General features: G+C 36.1%; 2 protein-coding genes, 1 long non-coding RNA gene and 1 pseudogene across 23 annotated transcripts in view; 2 read left to right on the top strand and 2 right to left on the bottom strand.

The window, feature by feature from the left end:
- Positions 1 to 5483, top strand: part of CEP290 (centrosomal protein 290) — a 93073-nt gene extending 87590 nt beyond the window's left edge. For 17 of the 20 annotated variants that reach the window (XM_017019983.3, XM_047429563.1, NM_025114.4 and 14 more), the window contains 4 exons: positions 86 to 159; positions 753 to 847; positions 4066 to 4145; positions 5085 to 5483. In XM_017019983.3, coding sequence (XP_016875472.1) covers positions 86 to 159; positions 753 to 847; positions 4066 to 4145; positions 5085 to 5315 — 480 coding nt within the window. In that variant the 3' untranslated portion in view covers positions 5316 to 5483. Of the gene's footprint in view, positions 1 to 85; positions 160 to 752; positions 848 to 4065; positions 4146 to 5084 lie in introns of those variants that run through there. The other 3 variants (XM_047429559.1, XM_047429558.1, XM_017019982.2) reach the window with 1 other exon arrangement.
- RNA5SP364 (RNA, 5S ribosomal pseudogene 364) lies at positions 2721 to 2798 on the bottom strand (annotated as a pseudogene).
- On the bottom strand, positions 4339 to 18963 carry RLIG1 (RNA 5'-phosphate and 3'-OH ligase 1). Its single transcript, NM_001009894.3, has 7 exons — positions 18761 to 18963; positions 14234 to 14351; positions 11579 to 11674; positions 10784 to 10900; positions 8720 to 8917; positions 7523 to 7692; positions 4339 to 6265 (listed from the first exon to the last, which is right to left on the bottom strand). Exons 1-7 carry the CDS (start codon positions 18848 to 18850, stop codon positions 6077 to 6079), a joined length of 978 nt encoding a protein of 325 aa, NP_001009894.2. The 5' UTR covers positions 18851 to 18963; the 3' UTR covers positions 4339 to 6076.
- Positions 18964 to 19002: 39 nt separating this feature from the next.
- On the top strand, positions 19003 to 21406 carry LOC107984542 (uncharacterized). Of its 2 annotated transcripts, none has more exons than XR_007063394.1 (3): positions 19003 to 19085; positions 20152 to 20759; positions 21231 to 21406. It is a non-coding gene; the product is annotated as an uncharacterized LOC107984542 (long non-coding RNA). The 2 variants fall into 2 exon arrangements; XR_007063395.1 differs by having other exon boundaries at positions 20152 to 20788.
- The last annotated feature ends 386 nt before the right edge of the window (positions 21407 to 21792 follow it).

The following is a 21792-nucleotide window of genomic DNA, read 5'->3' as shown; positions in this document are numbered from 1 at the left end:
TACGCTTTGTTAAAAATGTGTATCTTTATAAATCCTCATATTTCCATGGCAAACCTTATCTTCTAACTTTTCATTGTCCTCAAAGATTAAGATTCTTAAACATGTTCCTGAAGGTGCTGAGACAGAGCAAGGCCTTAAACGGGAGCTTCAAGTTCTTAGGTACATCATGTATTCATATGACTACTTTGTTTTTTTCTTTAAAAAAAAAATTATTAGTTTTTATATACTCCGAATTGCTACAACTAGAGACAAGCATTTTTCGACTTTACTGCCTAACAGGCTTATTAGGTCCTTATTTCTTCCCTCTAATGCTAATCACTCTTTTTCATAATACACACTAGAAAAAAAGGATAAACCCAACTCTAAGTTTCCAGTTTGTAATTTAGTTTAAACTTTTCTAAGAGCATAGAATGAGTTAAACCTTAGCTTCCCAGAGGAAAATACTAATGAAAGAGAACAAGTAATTTTTTTACTTTCAGGGGTCTCTGTAGCCTGCTTTCATTAAGCTCCTCTTATAACGAAACCACACTTGCAAATGCCATCAGGTCAGATATTAAGAAAAACGTGAAGGCTTTTGTATTCCAGGCTTTTTGTTTGAGAATGGTGACATTGTAGCATTGAGAGTAAATGTTTACTTCGATAAAGGCTAGCTTGTTCTGATTACTGTACATCACTAGTTCATAAGAAATGCCCATATATTTTATGAAGCAATATCTGCTTTATTTTTTTAACACATTATCATTGTGTTCTAGATTAGCTAATCATCAGCTGGATAAAGAGAAAGCAGAATTAATCCATCAGATAGAAGCTAACAAGGACCAAAGTGGAGCTGAAAGCACCATACCTGGTAATGTATTTTAAAAAACATGTTAGCTACCCCCAAGTTTTTGAATTTGGGTTTGCCTTTTTTTTTTTTTTTTGGCTCAGATTTCTGATCATTGTCTCCCTGTAAAATCGAATTCCTGATAAGCTTTGGGTCTTTTGTCTCTCTGTGCTATTAATATAAAAATATTCCCATTTTTCTCTTTGTGTTGTTTATACTATAGAGTAGCAAGTACCCAAGTGTTCTTCTCTTTGTTCTCCATCTGGGTGTTACAGATTTAATCACAATACAGTGCTAAGCAATGAATACTAAATCTGTTGCTTCCAGTTTCTAAGTATAGGCTCTTTCAAGTCCTCTGAACATTTTTAAAAACTGCAAATAAGTAAATACTGCCTATATTTTTTTCCGTTTACAAAGTAAAAAGAAAATCTTTCTGCTCCCTTCCATTCCCATTCAAAAGTGATTACTAATCATTCCTCATTCCTGCATATACATACACACATATTTTGTATACATATATATCACACATATGCATACATGTGTTTGTATGTTCATATGTACAATGTACATATCCTCATTATTTGTGGATTCTGTATTTTCTAAATCACCTCCTCACTAAAGTGTGTATGTAATCCCAAATCAACACTCGCAGCACATTTGCAAACATCCACAGAGCCTTGGAAAGTTTGAATAATCCAACCTACATGTCCCCAGCAGAAGTCCAACAAGGCAGTGCTCAGTATCCTCATTTCAGTTTTCATAGAGAAATGAGCAGAGGATGGAGACAGTAGAGGGCAGCACAGCATAGTGCAAGAAGCTGTGGCTCTGGGGCCTGGTGGAAGGGATTTGAATCCCAATTCTGAGGCTTGTTACTGCTCTAGCCTTAGGAGAGTCATGTAACACTTCTGAATCTTGTTTTCTTATGTAAATAAATAGAATTTACCAGGATGAGTTATCTTTAGGATTTAAGATTATCATCTGTGTGAGATATGTAGGTGTATGTATATATATGCGTGTATGTATATATATGCGTGTATGTATATATATGCATGTCTGTACATATTTCCCGTAGCAGCAGTGGTTTGATATTCACTAATTGGGCTAACTTTATAGACCAAAACTACTATGGATAGAGAATACTTTGTTTGCATTTACGTATATATATTTTCTTGGCAAGTAACATAAAATTGAACTAATACTATACACATTTCTAGCATATTTGCCTTTAACAGTTTATCATGGACATCTTTTGAGGTCTGTTCATAAATTATCTCATCCATTTAATAATTCCATAGTGTATTATTGCATGTATAAGCACATCGAACCATTTATGTTTTGATGGATATTTAGTTTGCTTCCAAGTTTCTGCTTCTATAAAATATGATTAATCTATTGACCTAATTATGCCATTGTGATAGGATGATAGAGATGCCATTCTCTCCAAAGGATTATACCAATTTATATCTGAACTATCTTTGACTATCTCTTGTAGCTTTTTCAGTATGCTATGTAGTCCTATTACTAATTTGTAATAAAAGCCATCATGTGTGAGTTGTACTAGACACTATGCTAATTGCCTTACAAGCATTCTATATTTACAACCATATATGATAGGTATTACTGTCTCCATTTTATGTGATAAACAAATTCAAAGTGGTTAAGTAACCATTCCCTAAGCCAGCTAGGAAATAGAGGCAGGATTAAAATCTAAATGTATGAAACTCCACAGCTCCTTGGCATTCCTAGTCCTTAACCCGCTATGCTATGCTACGTCTTGGTAACTAAAAGTACATATTAAATACTCTCAAAATATGTCTCATAGCAGCCAGCTTGGTATGTACACTAGACACAGTATTAATGCTGTTGATGTGAGGAAAATTTTATAATTTTCCTTCCATCCATATACTAACCAGGCCCAACAGTGCTTAGCTTCTGAGATCAGAGATCAGGTGCATGTGCATTAAGGGTCATATGGCCATAGATAGTTCTCTAATCTTTCCATTCCTCAGTTTCTTAAGGGAATTTCTGAACCCTCAAAATTCCTTATTTCCTAAGTAGACAGATTACCTGTCATTTTTCAAAGATTAAGGCTTAAGATCAAACCAGAACTGTTTTGGAAATTCTAAATCACTGTCTATATAAATGGCAAGATAACTTTTAAGATATTTATACCAAGCCCAGTACAGTAGCACACCACACCTGTAATCCCAGCACTTTGGGAGGCTGAAGTGGGTGGATCACATGAGGTCAGGAGTTCGAGACCACTCTGGCCAACATGGTGAAACCCTGTCTCTACTAAAAATATAAAAATTAGCCAGGCATGGTGGCACTTGCCTGTTATCCCAGCTACAAGGGAGGCTAAGGCAGGAGAATCGCTTTAACCTGGGAGGCAGTGGTTGTTGCAGTGAGCCAAGATTGCACCACTGCACTCTAGCCTGGGCGACAGAGTGAGACTGTCTCAAAAAAAAAAAAAAAAAAAAAGATACTTGTCCCAGCCATGAAAATGTTTGCTGCCCCTTACTTTCGCAAACTTTTAGTATTTTATTATTTTTCAATGGCTGTAAAATATGACTTATTAAATGTAGTATAATATAAAGAAAAGAGATATCTAGCAAAGATAGCATTAAAGCAAAAATCCTATTTGCCTGCTGATAAAGTTAGAGGTGTTAACTTGGAGGGTGAATCCAATAAATTAGAACTTTTGTGCTATATTTGGAGACTTTTGTTTTCCTACCAAAGTATCAGGGCTATGTCTTACTTATCTTTGTATTACACAGCCTGCATGACACGTTTTGCACATAGTAATTGCACAGTAAATGTGTAATAACCTACATGGAATAGCCAGTGTTGTGTTGGATAGCGGGAGCATTTGGCTAGCTTATGGTTATAGTCCCTTACCCAACAGTCTGCTTTTCTTCTGTTGTACTTTTAGTACCTAACAAGTTTCCCTGGCTTTAGGATTTTTTCCATGTAAAATTTCTATCATGTGAAGAAAAAATAACTTGGCCTACACTTCTAATACCTAGCACATACCTCTTTCTGCCTGCTATGAAATTATAATACTTGATGGAGGGAGGCAGCATTAAGTGTTTACATCCTGAAGTATTTCAGCCATAACATCCAGTGTTTTCCAGGTTCTAGGTTTCATAAAATGTATCTCTGTTCTCTAGAACAAATCCATTACCTTGAACTCATTCGTAGTGGGAAAAAGCTGAGTCTAATTTGTATGACTTTTTCAACAGATGCTGATCAACTAAAGGAAAAAATAAAAGATCTAGAGACACAGCTCAAAATGTCAGATCTAGAAAAGCAGCATTTGAAGGTAATATTTAATTATATTTTAGTATCGTTTTGTGAAAACAGCTGTTGAAAACTATTTTCATTACCATCTTTAACTACGTATCCTAAAAAATTCAGTAATAACATCTTATATTTGACCTTTATATTGCAAAGTTAATTATGTTCATCTGACTATTCCTAACATATTAGAGTTAACAAAAAATTCAGACTCAACATAGGATTAAGTAGTAAATTTATTTTTTAATTGTAACAAATATATGCCATTAGTATGTTCTTAAGTTTTGGGTCACATTGGCAACAGTGTCTTTATTTTTTTTTTGAAATTCTTTTCAGGAATCCTAAGGTTATAGTTCCCTTAAAAAAATATTTGCTGTTTTACCTCTTTTAAGACTGTAAACAGGACAAAAAGGCATGGATATGAGAATTAGCTAGTGATCACTGGCTATTCTAAATAGTCACTAAGGCTTGAATTGTCTCTTCACCAGATGCCTGTCAGAAGTCCCAAAGGTTTCCCTGATCATATTAATAACTTTATAAAAAATTGATCATTATTCATTAAATATTAGATATTAGTAAGGAAAATATAAATGAAGTCTAAACCAAAACTCTTAACCAGACTAACTTCAATGTTATGAATCACAAAATCTTTTTGATTGATTGCTCTATTGACAAGCTCTTATATGCTTTTAGAGAAAGATTAAGTCCCATTATAAGAGATGATAAATTTTAGTCAAAGACTAGAACACAACTTACAGAATACATAACTGGACTTGACAGTTAACAACTTAGTTATTTACACTGTACAATGGAACAAAGAAAAATCTTAATTCTTCTGCCTTTATTGCTGTATTTGACCATTCAGGAATACTTTGGCTTTCATATTTACAATTAAATCTCCTTGTTCAAACGTAAAATATGTATATTTCCTATATGCAACTTTTAAAGATAATGTTTCCATTAGGAGGAAATAAAGAAGCTGAAAAAAGAACTGGAAAATTTTGATCCTTCATTTTTTGAAGAAATTGAAGATCTTAAGTATAATTACAAGGAAGAAGTGAAGAAGAATATTCTCTTAGAAGAGAAGGTAAAAAAACTTTCAGAACAATTGGGAGTTGAATTAACTAGCCCTGTTGCTGCTTCTGAAGAGTTTGAAGATGAAGAAGAAAGTCCTGTTAATTTCCCCATTTACTAAAGGTCACCTATAAACTTTGTTTCATTTAACTATTTATTAACTTTATAAGTTAAATATACTTGGAAATAAGCAGTTCTCCGAACTGTAGTATTTCCTTCTCACTACCTTGTACCTTTATACTTAGATTGGAATTCTTAATAAATAAAATTATATGAAATTTTCAACTTATTATAAAAGTATATACTTGAAGACTTGTTACAGCCATCAAATAGGCAGTGAGCTCTGGTGAATTTCTCTACATTCATAATGCTTTAAGTTTTTTAAAGAATATGAGGGTAAATTCAGCAATTTTAAGATTTAAAATTGGAGTTTATATATACTTATTTATACATGTGTTAAGATTCTCAAATCCTATGATATATACACAGATGTAGACATACACACATATAGGTTATGAGGTTGAGCCGTATGTTTTGTTAAATATCTAGCAAAATTAAATTGAGCTTAAACTATTTAATTTTGAAAATTAGTGACATTAAATTGTTGTCTTTAAATTACCACTCAGTTATAGTGAAGAGAATCCAGCCTTTGTCCAAGCTTAGGAGCTTACTATTACTTATGTTTTTATGGCTAGAGATTAAAATTAATTTGCTGGTTTTTAATAAAATTTTGAATAGGTACTTGAAACTGGAAAATTCATTTCTTCACAAATGGTAGAAAACATATTGATGTTTCATAATGAACAGAAACCTTGAGATATTTTTAAATATGGTAGAATATTCAAGATTAGAATATAATGATAAACTAATTTTATTTGCATTTTATACATCAAATATTATATCTTTGAGTCTAACAAATTTCTGATTATCTATTTTTAAAAAATGATTAAACAAACACTTAATATCAAAGGCAGAGTCACATTTGTTCAGGTTCATGTTGATAATAACTGGTCTTGAATTCATGTAAGTATCTGGAATTGGCCAGCATAAGCCAAGATGATGGCGATGGACCTGGAAAGAGAAAAAAGGTATTAGCTTTAGCATACAGATACTATCTTCATTCACTTAGAAATATTTGAGTGCCCACTGTCTGCCAGGTACTGGGTAAGACTCCACTTTATCTTACTGTTTTTTTTTTTATAGCTGGTCTTCTCCTGACATATTACATATTTGTTTATTGTCTATCTTCCCCATTAGAATGTGAGCTTCATGAAGGCAGACACCTTGTTTTGTTGACTGTGTATGTCCAGCACCTGGAAACATGCCAGGAACATTATCAGGGGCTCCATAAAATGTTATGAATCATAGAGCCTGTTGCTGAGTACAGACTAGCTACCTGAAAAATGTGGGCAAGGAGGCATTCTAATTGAAAGGAATGTTATATGATAGAATGGAGTTTTTTGCTCTAATTGCAATCATGTAAATATGGTTACAGCAAACACAGTGTGAGTGTGTTTGCGGGGGCAGAGGTGGAGAGCAGTTCTGGGAAATTAAGTAGGGGCCAGATCATGAATGTTTAATGTAACTGAACAGATTTATGCAGGAAAGTAATATGCTCATTCATTTGTGAAGAATGGAGAGGACAGGGCTAAAACTGAAAGATACTATTTTTGGAGGGTGATATGATAGTTAAAGCATGAATCTTGGCTTAAATTAAAATTAACAGTTGGGAAGAAGTACATAGATTAGAACTGTTAGGAATTGATAACTGGATGTATGAAGTAATGAAAAGAGGGGTTAAAATTAATATCCAAGTTTTTACTTCAGTGAATTATGTGGACTCAGAGAGTTACAACTAGGCCCAGTTTTGAATATTATGAATTTCAGGTACCTGTGAGAAATCAAACAGACAAGTCCAGGAGACAGAAAGGGAACAAAGTATAAGATAATTCATTCTGTATATATCAACTGCTACCTTGGCACTCTTTTTACTCAACAGATTCTACACTCAAGTCTGGGAGATGCTGAGTTAAGTTAGTACAAGATGTCTCTGAGAGCACTACTGTGCAACATGAATTTCCACGCAGGGGATATATAGTTATCACTTTAATTCTGAAGCACACCTGTTATGATCGATGCCCCACACAATACACACTGGGAAGCACTGTTTTACCTCTTAAAAAATGGTGGTACATGGGATGAGAAAATTAAATTTCTTTACTGCAAATAAGAATTGCTGCCATTTGTAGAGAGAATTTTAGTGTCACTTCTACTCTATTGTAGGAATATAAGATGACATAACCCCACCGGAGCTATTTTTGCCATTACCTTTATTAAACAGCCATCACTGCAATGCCACACTATTCCTTCAATTTTACCCTCTTTGCAATCTTCAAACCAGGACACGAGATCATTGTGCTTCAATGAAGGTAGATTTCTTATTTGAAATGCTCCATGTGGTATAAGAAGATGTAATGGATGTTTCTTGCTCCCTAACCCTAAGTGGGAAAATTTGCCATTAGCCATATTCATTTAAAGGAACTTTCAGAACTAGAAAACGTACCTCTTCAAATAAAGTCTTTTGAAACACTTAGGAATAAAGGTAGAAAGGCTGGTTGGTTTCCTTAAAAAGAATATAACCCAGTGCACTGGCACCTTATTCCAATAACTCTAAATTCCACCTTGGTGTACTCTCCACCACGGTTCAGCAAACTATGACCTGCAGGTCAAGTCTGGACAGATACTTTTTTTGTAAATAGTTTTCCATGAACACAGCCGCACCCACTCATGTAAGTACTGTCTGTAGCTCCTTTCAGAAGAGTGGCCTACAAAACTTAAAATACCTACTCTGGCATTTGGCAGAAAAAGTCTACCAACCTTTGGTACCAGTGTGGCACTGGCCACATTCAACTATTCTTCAACGTTTGCCAAACAGCTGCACTGTATCTCTGATAACTTGTCTAACTACCATCTTAGCTTCTTTACACCTGGCAGTCTTCTTTTGATCTCCATATAGGATTTTCCTATTATAGCTTTAGCATCCTTAGGTCTGTCTTCCCATCCCCTTGTCAGCAAGGTGTAACCCATAGTGCTCTCAGTACTTGCACTCAATTCATCATGATATATATTTTGATACTTAACATGGTATTATTCATTGCCAATTCTTTATACCGTTGGCTATTTAAATTGATGCTATAATAACCATGAAAAGTGCATTTTCATCAATCGACTCAACTCACCTGAATTTTTAAAAGCAAGGGGGTTACAACTGAGTCATTACTTTTCATATATAGTTGTGTAATGTTATTACAGGAAAGAATGAGGATAAAAATCAACCTTTTGGATTAATAAAATGGTTTCATTTCTCTGTGAATGTAAAGTTAACAGAAATGGATATAATCCTAGGAAACTAACTCAAATTTGTTAGTCATTTCTTTAGTGTGTGTATGTTTTTTAAGTTGACCTAGAAAGTTCTCTTTATAAATGTCAGTTACAATAACTGAACAAGAAAAAGTCTTCACTCACCATATGGGTTTCCATTGATATTTGTTCCTATGAGTTCCAGTGTTTGTTCTAAGAGATCTGAAAGTGGCACTGCACTAATTTCCAAAAGTCCAGAATCATCAGGATGATGTTTTAGTACCAGGGCAATTTCAAATTCATAATTAACTACAGAGGAATGCCAGCAATACTGTTTGTTGTTTTTCTCTACTGGTACCCAACCTATCATATAAAGAAGAAAATTATTTGTTATTAGATCGTTTTTCTTTGGACTGACACTACAGGTAATTTATATTTTTGTTGTAAATTTCTCATGTTTTCTGGGTGTCTATCGCAAAGAGATATTACTTTAAAATTCAGTGGGAAAGTTAACAGTTTATTACTTTTTAAAAAATCATAAGGGTTCATTTTTTATTCTGTAGAATTAACCTATTATTCACTACACAGCACCTAGCATTCTCTTACTAGAAAATTCACCCTTATTCATTAAGAACTGAACATTATTCTAAGACACAGCACTCAAAATTTTTTATATAAAATAAGTTTTCTCTCTGCCTTCTCTCAAGCTTCAGGGACAATGGACATAATGCAGTTAAGTGTTCCAAGTTTATTAAAATGTTCCAATATATACCGAACAATTTACTGATGCCACGTTTATTGAATGTTATTGCTATTACCCTTCTCATTCTTATTGCCAGAATTCCTTCATTACTCACACTAGATTACTGTAATAACTTCTTTGCTGGTCACCTAGCCTCCAGTGAAATCCAACCCACTTTTATCATAGTTCTATTTCTAAAACTTAAATTTGCTTTTGCTGTACCACTGATTAAAAACCATTATCTTCAGGATAAACTTCAAACTCCTTTAGATGGAATAAAAGGGCCTTTCCGATCTGAGCCCACCACACTTCTAGCCTCAACTTTTACAGCCACTTCATGATGTCATATACCCTGAACATTCTAGCTGCAATAAAGTGTTACATAAAATATTCAAAATACCCCATGCCCTCTCCTCTTCCTGGGAGTTTGCCTAAGCTGATATTCCCTCTTCCTGGGAGTTTGCCTAAGCTGATCTTCCCTCTTCCTTGTCAGCTGACTTCCTGGTCCTTAAGCTTCAGTACAGATGTCTACTCCTCTTGGGAGCCTCCACTAACCACAAGCTGAATGAGGAATTCCTCTTTTCTCCAGTGGCACCTGATGTATTCATTCCTGTTAGTTCTTAAATCATACTATTATTGGTTAATTTCTCCCAATGTCTAATTAAAGATCATTGAGGACAAGGGTTCTGACCTTCATTTTTGTATTACCAGAAACTAAGAGGACTTTGCACATAATGGGCACTCAAGACATGCCGGTTGAGAACCTATAACCTTAATCTGGGATATCTTCCTATTCAGCATACCTTCGCAAAATTTTCCCATCCCTAATCTAAAGGTATAGCCACTTCTTGAAATCTCATTTCAGACTAGATCATCTCATCTATCCTGACAAGAACTTGGAAGCTATTCCCTCTTCTTTTGTTGTTTTTTTGAGACAAGGTCACAGTCCAACTCTCAGGCTAGAGTGCAGTGGCACGATCATGGTTCACTGCAGTCTCAACTTCCGGGGCTTAGGTGTTTCCCACATTAGTCTCCCGAGTAGCTGAGACTACAGGCGCACAATGCCATGCCCAACTAATTTTTTGTATTTTTGGTAGAGACAGGGTTTTGCCATGTTGCCCAGGTTAGTCTTAAAACTCCTAGGCTCAAGCAATCCACCCACCTCAGCCTCCCAAAGTGCTGGGATTACAGGTGTGACCACTGCACCTGGCCTCAAGGCTATTCTCTTTTGACGCTTTATTGTCACAGACTACAGCTAGTAAAAAATGCCCATCTTAGAAAAGATTCTAAACCTAAGAGGACATTCTTGATATGAAACATCTTTGATATAAAATGTATGTAGGACTTTACATAAATTTGATTCAGAAATTCTGTGCTATACATATTAATGAAGACCCAGATTAAAATTCTGTAATTTCTGATTGAATGGATATTTTGATCATTTTACTAGTAAACACAAAACTGCACTAGAAGAGATATCATGATACCAGGAATGTGTCCATTTTCATCAGGCACTGGGTTCCCATTTATTTGTTCTGTCTCCTTTGCTGGTATCCAGCACTCCGGAGCTGGTTTGAAGTCCTCCTCAACGTTCCAAAAAAATTCTAAAAAATATTAAAAAGATAATATTGTATGTGGTGATACTTAAAAAACGTAAAATACTAAACAGACTCAAAATGGGAACAGCTACTAAAACCTCATAATATCAGGTGTGATACAATTATTCTCCATTCATTATCACCACAACATGACTGTACTTAAGATTAGGGTACTAACAATTTAAATATTCAATTTCATATACGCCATTTGTATACAGTATTTAACAGTCAAACTAAAGTAATCATATTCCATTAAGTATTAGATTTATGAATTTTTAATATACTATGAATACAAATATAAACATAAATACATGAATGCATAGATATACAATGAGTATCTACTACAGATATTTAAAAGCATTTTAATAATTAAAAATATTAATTTCCTGAGATTTGTACTTGATTTATAAAATTACGTATTTGTCTCTTACACAAAATGTCACTCATTTCAATATGCAGTAATTTGTATGTTTTAATAGACTCATACTATAAAGAAGTGACAAATATTACAAAAATATTTTACAATATTTTTCAATAATATCCTTTTATATATAAAAGTATTCAATTATAGTTTTCCTAAATTGCTTAAATTACACAGAAGGATATAATGTATAGAAATACCACAGCAATAAATATGCCACAAATTTCAGCTATTTAAACATGAAAAGTTAAAAAAAAACTAACCTTTTGGGTTTTCTTTTGAATGTAGAAAATTTTTAAATCTTTTTTCAGCTTGTTTGTTGGGTTTTCTATCTAGTCGAGCCCAAAGGTATGGCTGATCTAAAAAAGTAATAACAAAAGGAAAAGTATGATGCAAACAAAACTTATCTTGAAAGACATTTCAGAATACAGTTTGTCAACAAACAGGAGGCTAATTTCTCAAAGAAGACAAAGGGAAATATGGAGTCTAAGAATATATACCTCCTAGCAGTACCTGATGCTATGAGAAGACTTATTTCTCTGGTTAAAGAATGAGGGGGATGAGACAAAAAGTAAATATATGATCTTTTTTATAAGGACACTGCATAGTCATATTGTATGAGTTAGCAGCATTTATGGACAACTGAAGCTACCTCTTCAAAATGGAAACATAACCAGATAACTGTATTTACCCCACCCCTTCCCCCCAAACATAACACTGTGCTGTAAGGGTTAATTCTGACACATCTGGAATCAGGCTGAGCTGTTCTGCATGGCACTGACCCCTGATCAAGGCATGAAAATACTAATAATGTTGATTTGTACTCATGGATCTGAGGAGTTGCAGGGCACTGTGCTAGTATTCTTTATTGGTAGGAGTGAGACTGATAGCTTGGTCTGAGAACCCTGGAGGGCTCTGCTGTTGAAGCTGAGCATCAGCTGCCTACCTACGTGACCAGCAAAAATATAAAAATCTCCAGCTGTGAGTCCATTTTGCATTCCCTGGTTCCAAGCTGTTTGCCTGCACACATAAGTGGTTCCTGATCTAAGAAAATGTGTCCTGCCAAGGCTCTAAAGCAGGGAACAATAGTAGCTTTTACTTGGCCTCTCCATACTCCTTACTGTGAGACAGTCCTTGGCTATAATACACATCTTTACTTTTAATGCCTTAGTAGTAATAATTTAGTAGTAATTCTTTAGTAGTAATAAATGTGGATTTGTAAGCATTGTCACTTTGGGTTCTGTGACTTGAGTTTAGCAGTTAAATTCTAACCCAGTTTGCCGTCCTCACGCATAATGATACACACTATAGTTTCTTAATAGACATCAAAGTCTAAAAAATCTTTTACAGTTTTCTCAAGTATACAAATCCAAGGTTTATAAAGAAACTGCTGCACAGTGGTCCAAATATTCTGTACTACTTATTAGCTATCCAGATAAATAATATGAAGAACCAGATTAAAACTGTATTATCGTTTCTGGTTCAATGGACCTTTTGTTTCTTTTTTACCAGTAAACATAAAAAATGCAATTTATTTACATCCATTAGAATGGCTACTATCCAAAAACAAAAACAAAAATCCAAACAGAAAAAAGCAGAAAATAAGTGCTGGTGAGGAAATTGAAAAACTGGAACCTTTGTGCACTGTTGGTAGAAAGGTAAATGTCTGCAGCCACTATGCAAAACAGTATAGTGGCTCCTCAAAAAATCAGAATTTCCATATCATCCAGTAATTCCACTTCTGTGGAAGCACAGCCTCAGATATCTGTTCATGCCTGTTTACAGTGGCATTATTCGCAATAGTCAAAAGATGAAAGCAACCCAACTGTCCAGCAATGGTTGACTGGATAAACAAGATGTGCTAGATACATGCAATGGAATATTACTCAGCTTTAAAAAGGAATAAAATTCTGATACATGCAACCAACATGAATGAACCTTAAGGACATTATGCTAAGTGAAATAAGCCAGTCACAAAAAATAAACACTGTATGATTCTACTTATATGAAATACCTAGAGTAGTCAAATTCATAGAGACAGGAGAATGCTGGTTACAAGGGGCTGGTGGTGGGAGAATAAGGAGTTGTTTCATGGGTAGCATTTCAGTTTTATAAAATGAAAACAATTCTTGAGATGGAAGGTGATGATAGTAGCACAACAATGTAAACATACTTAATGCCACTGAACTGCATACTTAAAAATGGTTAAGATGGCAAATATTATGTATGCTTTAGCCCAGTTATTTTACTGCATTTCAGAATAAATTTCCTGATACAAGGAATGTGTCCAGATGTCCATTTAATGCCCCAGGAATGTGTCCAGATGCTATTTTTTTCTGGAAGTGAGAGGTAATCTCACCGTCCAAAAATAATTGCAAAAAAAAAAATCTCTTTTCCGTACATTTCTTCTTAAAATGACTGACAATTTCTATTTGCATTTCTACCTTTTAAACTACATTAAAGTGAAATTAATTAGAGACACTGCCAAGAGGAATAAAGCCCCTGGAATCAGTGCAGGAAGAACAAGCTTAAGGGTCACACGAACATAGGTCCCATTGCCAGTTCAGCCATTCAGTCACTATTGGGTCTTGGACAAATTATTTAAGTTTGCTAAACCTCATTTTTATTGTCTGTGAAATGGAGAGGCTACTTGTACAAATTGGAGATAATATATGTCAAGCACCATACTGCCTGAGCCCTTAAGGGTATTAAGTAAATATTTTAGTTACCTTTCTTTTTTCCACCAGGAAGAAAATACAGTAACATAAGTGAACTATAACAATTGTGACCTTTTTGTTTTGCTACTATACTTAGGTTTCCAAGTGTTTATGAAGAGCAAATGCCTCATTTCAGATAGACTGTAAAGTGATTAAGAAAAATAAGTAATATTTGTAGTAAATATTATAGTTTTATTTTACCTTTATAGGTAGTAACATAACAACATGTTCCATCCACTTTTTCTGTTGGAATTGCACTGTATATATCTGCATCTAATGCCTTGTGACTTACAGTTTCAGTTGCCAAAACTTTAAATGGCTTAAAAAAAGAGAGAGAGAAAACCGGTTTAAGATAGATAGCCTCTATGTCTTTGCACACATGCTCACCTGAAATCTTCTTAATTTCATTAGTTTTAAGGAATGATCTCCAGTTCATCTTTCAGAATGATTTAAAAATATTTATTCTGTGAAGTTCCGAATTGTTTGCTCCCTTCTGTACTATCACAGCAACACCTGATTTTCTACACAATTCTGTAGTTATTTACGTTTCTTTATCCACCTTTGTTCTTTGCAATGCTGCATCCCTAGCAAAGGCATTCAGTATATTTAATCATATACCTGCAATTATTTACTAAATGCCTAAGATTAAGCATTGTCTTCAGCACTGGAAATACAGAGGTGAACAAAAAAGTACCTGCCTTGGGTGAAACTTGCATTTTAATGAGGGAGACAAAAGAAGCACAATGCATAATATAATGTTAGCTATGACAAGCAAGTGCTAAAAACAAATGGGTAAAGGAAAGAGGGATGAGGTGCTATTTTGGATACGGTGGAAAGGGAAACTTTGAGGAGGCAACCTTTAACCAAATTTGAAGCAAAGGAATACCATGTAAATATCTGAGGAAAAAAACAAAAGGTAAGGTTTCTTGATGTGTCTGAAGAATGCAAGGCAGACATTGAGTCTGGATCTGCGTGAAGTAAAACTAGATTGTATGCTTAATTAACTTAAACTTCATAAGTGCTTCTGGTAGTTCAATACAAGTATCTTTCAATTGTAATTTTCAGTTTTCCCAAGAGTCAATCTACTCTTCAGTACATGAGACTTTCCCCCTGTTTTATAAGCACAAACATTTTTGTGATTTACAAAACTTGTTTTTTAATTAAGACTTGGTTCATAAGGAGTCTTAGCAAGGATGTGGTAATGTACTCCTGTCTCAGGTCACATTCTCAGGGAGCAGGCAAAAGAGACGGAAGATAGTTCATACTTTGTTTTTGCCTTTTTTAACCTTTTTTTCCTTGCAAAGCTAATAGATGCTCATTATAGAAAATTTGTAAATGAAATATACAAAGGCATAAATGAATCACCCACGTCATCACCCTTCAGATGTATCACAAAGAACGTTTTGGCATACTTCTTGTCTCTTTTTCAGTGCATTTTTCTCAATATAATTGACATCAGTTTCTATTTGCTACCAAGAAGTTTCTTTAAGAGCCAAAATCAAATGGTTTCTGGATTTACTTTTTTCATGTTTTTCCTCCTCAACTGCATGATAAACAAGTGCTATTATAAGCACAGGCTGAAAAACTAATGATCTTCATCCTTTTCATGAAGCAATTATCATTAGTATACCTTCATTGTCACAGAGCTTGCATCTCTGTCTAAACATAACAGATCACAGACTTTAAAAGCATCTTAATTTTCAGAACTATTCTATCCTTGATTCAGTTTTATATCCTAAAAATCTTCAGATGTATCATCATAAAGTTCAACAAATACTCTTAGGAAAATATATTATCTGCCTGAAAGGAAAGTTCACCCCGATGGTTTCCTACCATTAATAGTGATTTATATTAGACATGACAGTACTACAAACTTAAATTTCTGAGCTGTATCAGCTATGGTTTATTTACTTAAAAAATGTTCAAGATGGCAAAAGAAAAATTGCCTCTATAAAACAAATCTCTTGACTCTTGAGTTAGGCTTCACTTTGACAACAGTTTTCTTCACAGTTACCTGACATCCCCATGTAGTCTGATGAATTGTTTACTTTGAAAGTTGTATTTAGGAGTCTATGTTGATCTAAAAATCTTTGTGGTAACTCATTCAACAAAGCTTGAGCATCTAGTTTGTGAACGGCCTTGTCCTAGACTATGCAGGCAGAATATAAAAAAAGGAGTAAAACCCGCTGGCATCACCTCTTAGACGAGACCTCATATTAGCACTCCTGTAAATACAGCCCCACTGATAGCACAAGCTGGCCCACTATGCCATCTTAGAGATGTTATACCGTATACTTCAGAACCATTTTAGTTCTATGTCTTTGCACCATGAGTACTCAAGATTTGAAGTTGATTTTGTTTTTTTCATGTTTTTCCCCTAACAATTTTCACCGTTAAAACTAGTAAGAATCACTTGCCTTTTGTTTTTCCTTTGAGTTTGTTTGCTTTGAGAGTACTCACTTTTTGTCCCTTTCAGCTTTATCAGTAGTCAGCTGTTTACATATTTAATTTATGGTTTTTCTACTGTCAGGAAGAAGAAGGGCACCAAGGATGAGGAAAAGGCAGTTTCTTGGGTTCCTACTAACTTTTTATCTATAATTTATTTTCATTTCTGAAAAAGACTTATGCCACTTCTATAGTCTGTATCTGAAGTAGCATCATCTTACAAAGTGAAACAACACTGTACAATATAAACATACTGCTGTGTGTGAGCTTAAGACTTATGCACTATTGCAAACAGGTAAACTAAGAAATTAGCCCCTTCTAGTACTGATTCAATACTTTTAAAATATAATCGTCTAGTAGGGATTCAGTACTTTAAAAATACAACTGGTTTTCACTAACTTATGATGCTGGTTTCAAAGGATATCAATTTAACCCAGGGTGGTAGAGCCACAGGGTCTGGTCCAATAGCAGTGTGTGTGTATCTAAATTTATCAAAGATCCTATGTGGGGGGGAAGATTACTCTGCCCCATGGAGCTCCTGATGAGTATAAACATTCCTTCCATAAAAATCAATCATCTGCTCTTTGCTATCGACATATCCAAAGGACAACACGAGACACTGAGGGGTACACAAAGTTCTCCTTCTCCACCTGTCATAAAAGGCTTTAGACTATTACCGGAAAAACAAGGTACGTGTATTAAAATAGTGAATATCAATTGAGTGGCCCTCTACAATTTCTGGGTAGGGGAAATCACTGAAATGGCTAAATTGATAAGATTTTATGGAGAAGAACTGACTTGAAAAATTAAAAACACTCTAGAGGTGATCCAGAGTGAACAGTCTGAGCAAAAATATGAGACAGGATTGTGGTTGATATGTTCACAGGATGAAATAGATGGTTAAAACAGAATCCACTTTAAGGACGATGGAAGGTAGATTGAGCCTCATTAGTGGGAGGCCCTGAATTATAATTAAGAATGTGGATGCTATGCTATAAACGATACTGTAAGCTGTTCTTAACTGCAGAGAGGTAAGAGAAGGGGCTGCTTATTTTCCCTGGTGGAGAATACTTTCACAAACTACTCCCCTCAAACATACGAAGTTGAAAATCACAGTAGAGTGAAATACTAAAACAGATGATAATGTTTCATATGGATTACATTTGTTACAGCTAAAAAAAAAAGCCAATTACTGCTACAAACATTGAGTAATAACTGTGGTATTCTGACGAGGAAAGAACATGGTGATGATCAGTCTGAGTGGCAAGTAAGACCAGTTAGGTGGTGCAATGAGCAGGACATGAAATATTAACTGTAACAGCTGTGACAGCACTAGAAAGCAGGAAAAGATCAGATGCTATAAGGTAAAAAGCATCAAGGTGAATGGAAAACTGGCATGAAATGATTCCAGGGTTCATTCTTTAATTCAACAAATATTTATCCAGTGCCTACCACGTGCCAGGTCCTAGAAGCTGGGACTAAAGATAACAGGGCAATCTTTGCCTTAAACAAGTTTTAGTCCAGAAGACGAGAAAGCCAGTGCCAATGATGAAACTCAAGTGAGGTGGATTTCCAATGGACATGTTGGTTTTGTTTGAAATCAGCAAAGTTGGGAAGCACCCAACTAATCACTGGGGATTCTACTGATCAAAGACTACAACGTTTTATAGTACAATATGAAAAAATTACCCAAATATAGGTTACTCACTAGCATTTACCGAGGGCACACTATGGAAAACACGTTGCTGCAACAGAAAACCTTGAGAACACCAAAGTTAGAATAAATTAAGTAATTACTGGTAATATGAGGTGTGAACTTCAGTGACCTAATTAGGCTACTGTCAACACCGCCACTGGTTCGGACAGAACAGGTAAAGCAAGTCTTCTAATATCCACCCTTTCTTACTGCACTCTTGAAAAGTAGTAAAGCTTGGACTGTGGCAATTACCTGATTAGGGGGTTTCCCCAAAAGGTGCTGACCTGAAAAGGAAGGGACATGCTGTGGATGTGAGTTATCCATTTCCTTGCGAGGACAAGTTTGAATCTCCTGATAAGGAAAATTCTTTCGCAAATTCCCTCCCTCACAACTAAGAAAAGTACAAGAACCTGGAGCTCAGGGCGTACGGAACTCCCACCCCAGACCTCCCCAGGGAAACCTACAGAGGTTCCTGGCCTGCAGGGCAGTTCTAAAGCGCCCAGCCGCCCTCGCCGGGTTCGCACTGAGCCAGCGCCGCGGGGAGGAGCCCACGCGGGCCGCCAAGCCTGCCCGGCGCTCCTCCGTACCTGATGCTCCCTTTTGGAGGAAGGCTCCTCTTTCACCTCCGTCACAAACACACACGGCATTTTCCGCTGCACGGAGCCCAAGCGCTTCATGATGAGCCCAACAAGCAGTGCGAATGGAGGGCGTGCTTTCGAGCGGCGCCCGGTCCAGTCGCGGAGAAGCCCTGAAGCAGTCACCCGCACGGCTCAGGCCACGCACACTCCGCGCCCAGCCACCGCGGCTGCGCCCCAACTACCAAGCCCAGCGAGGGGCGGGAACGCCCGTCCAGAAGCGGCTTCCTGGCCGCGGCGCCTTCTGGGAGTTGTAGTGCAGAAGCTGAGGCGCCTGGTGGGTTCCCACGTGCGTCCTCCGCCCCCCACCCTCGGTTTTAATAACCGTGAAAAAAAAAAAAAAAAGATGCGTTTCCCGAACGTGGGTACTTAGCAATACCTAGTAACTAATGATTTTTTGGGAAATTAAATAAGATCAAATTATAAGCAATGAACATTTCAGATGTCGATTTAACACAGTTCCAATGGAAACTGCTTGCCTGTTATCTTTAGTTCGTGGGGGAAGCACTGTAGAAGTTTAGAAATGGCTAGAGACATCCCCAGATTCCCAAGCAGAATGAAAACTTCCTTTCCGGTAAGACTATCAGAAAACCCTATAATAAAACACCTGGGATCAAAAAAAGTTGTCGTTTGAACTACTCCTTATTGTGCAGCATAGCATGGTCGAAATGATTCTGATGTTCTTTTCGGAGTGAGTGCGAAATTTCAGCCTTAGACTAATCCAAAAGTACAGGAATACCTACAACCAGATTTCATTCTCAAGTTTTTCATAAGAATCTTGTTTAATTAAAGGTGAGCTCCAACAGCCCAAATGGCTTGAGTAATGGTAGTCAATCAACTGCGAGCTAAAAACAGCCTTAACTTACTGCTCAAAAGAATATTTTGAGGGTAAGTGATAAGATGGACAATGACTAAATAAAATAAATACTAAATATTTAGGAATAGTAGCCTTTCCATCTCATTGAATGTAGTAGTTCCTAGCCTGAAGTTGTAGGGGAATTTTGACTTTACTGCCATCCTTTATGGGCTTGGACTAGGCCCAGGTCTCATTTCTTTGTCTTATCTGCATGTACTCAACTGTCCAGCATGTTACTGACTTAGCCCTTGGAAAAATTAAACAACTATATCTCACTTAGAGGTATCTAACTAGTAAGGGGGTTCTCAAAGAATAAAACATCTTCCTTTAAAAAGTTCACAGTTATATTGAATACTGACAGTGAAAAAAAATAAAATTTAAAAAAAGTTCACAGTTTTTTGATTACTGGATTCAGAGGGGAGGGAGGAAGAAAGAGATTTGCCATTTCAAAGTGTTTACTTTCTTTTCTACTATCTTTTTCTCACAGGAAAACACAAAATGTTCTCCCACATCACACCCCGCCTGCATTTATCAAAAAAGAAAACACCTGATGCTGGCTGTGTGCTGTTGGAACCAGAAACTTTTTAGCATATTATAGTCGAGTGCCAGTGACTTCTTTGTTCTTTCAGAGGCATTCTAAAAAGCGGCGTGTTTCACGAATCTCAGAGACAACAACTTTCACAACTATCAACTGTCACCTCCCAAACTGCCACAGAACCTTTTAAGTCCAACATTCTGTCATTTGTGGGAAATACTCATCTTCTAAAACACACTCTACTTATTCTTTGAATAGTAGTTGCAAAGCTAGTCATCTCTCAGGAAGCACTTTCTATTTCCAAAACTTTGGTTTCATCAGTACCTGGAGCAAAGCTTCTGGCAGAAACACAAATCCTCATCAGGGGAGAGGCACAGGATCAACTCACGGTTATAAACTGGACTCCTGCTCTGACGGGTAGCAGCCATCAACTTTGCCCGATTCTCATAATTCTGAAGGGTCACCAAGGAGTTGCTACCAGCCACTGTACTTAAAGTGGTGTCACAGGATTACAAAATAGAAGAAAGTCTTTCTTCTCTGACTAATATGTTAGTGCTCTAGTAAGCATCAAAGATGAAAGACACACAATGTGAGCCTGCTTTGGCCAACACAAAGTACTTACAGAATTTTCAGGCCTACTTCCAGCCCTGGAGACAAATTTCCCATCATTCTTCATTACAGGAGTAATCATCCTCATAGGGCTGTAATAGCTTTTTTTTTTTTTTAGATGGAGTCTCGCTCTATCACCCAAGCTGGAGTGCAGTGGCTCAATCTTGGCTCACTGCAATCTCCACGGCTTGGGTTCAAGCGATTCTCCCGCCTCAGTCTCCTGAGTAGCTGGGATTACAGGCGTGTGCCACCACGCCCAGCTAGGTTTTGTATTTTTTTTAGTAGAGACAGTGTTTCATCATGTTGGTCAGGCTGGTCTTGAACCCCTGACCTCATGATCTGCCCACCTCTGCCTCCCAAAGTGCTAGGATTACAGGTGTGAGCCACCACGCCTGGCCGTAACAGCTTTTTTTTTTTTTAAGACCAGAATGAAATTCACAACAGTAAAGAATAGAACTGAAGAGAATAAGGAAAAGAAAAAAGGGGCTGAGGGAGAAGGAAAAGAAAAGAGAGTTTAAAAAGGTAGAGAAGGTAAGACTCCAGGCATTCTAAACACTACCAAAATGTACAGATCTATTTTATGTGCTCTGCAATGACAAAAAAAAAAAAAAAAAAAAAAAAAAATCCCATGTGAGTTTGACCTGTTTTTGCTGTGTCTACTGGAATGTAGCTGTTTGCACCTAACTTCAAGAAGTAAACACTTTTTTTCAGACTTTCTCCTTTGTAAAACAGGAATTCTCACAATGACTTTAATCATGATGTTACATGTAACATGCAATAATAGTGTTTGGTAAGAATATTTGAAAACAGTCCAATGAAGCTACAAGTTCGCAGGTGTAGACAGTGTTTATCTGGAGGCAAAACACACTTAAAATATTTCTTAGGGATGTTTCTCCCAGTAGCTTAAGTGCTTACTTCATGGGTGCTTTGTTCTAGAGTTAGAAGATAGGGCAAAACAAAATGTAGTTATATTTTTCTATGTAT

Source organism: Homo sapiens, chromosome 12 (genome assembly GCF_000001405.40).
Source record: "Homo sapiens chromosome 12, GRCh38.p14 Primary Assembly".
NCBI lineage: Eukaryota > Metazoa > Chordata > Mammalia > Primates > Hominidae > Homo > Homo sapiens.
This window is presented reverse-complemented; position numbering and strand designations above follow the sequence as displayed.

Bases quoted from the DNA above. Each gene is read 5' to 3' on its own strand.
- RLIG1 (NM_001009894.3), bottom strand. From the start codon at position 18,850: ATGAAGCGCTTGGGCTCCGTGCAGCGGAAAATGCCGTGTGTGTTTGTG. The intron at 11,675-14,233 runs GTAAAATAAAAC...TTACTTTTTTAG, and splicing joins TTATGTTACTACCTATAAAG to ATCAGCCATACCTTTGGGCT. The intron at 6,266-7,522 runs GTAATGGCAAAA...TTCTCTTTCCAG, and splicing joins GTGATGGCTGTTTAATAAAG to GTCCATCGCCATCATCTTGG.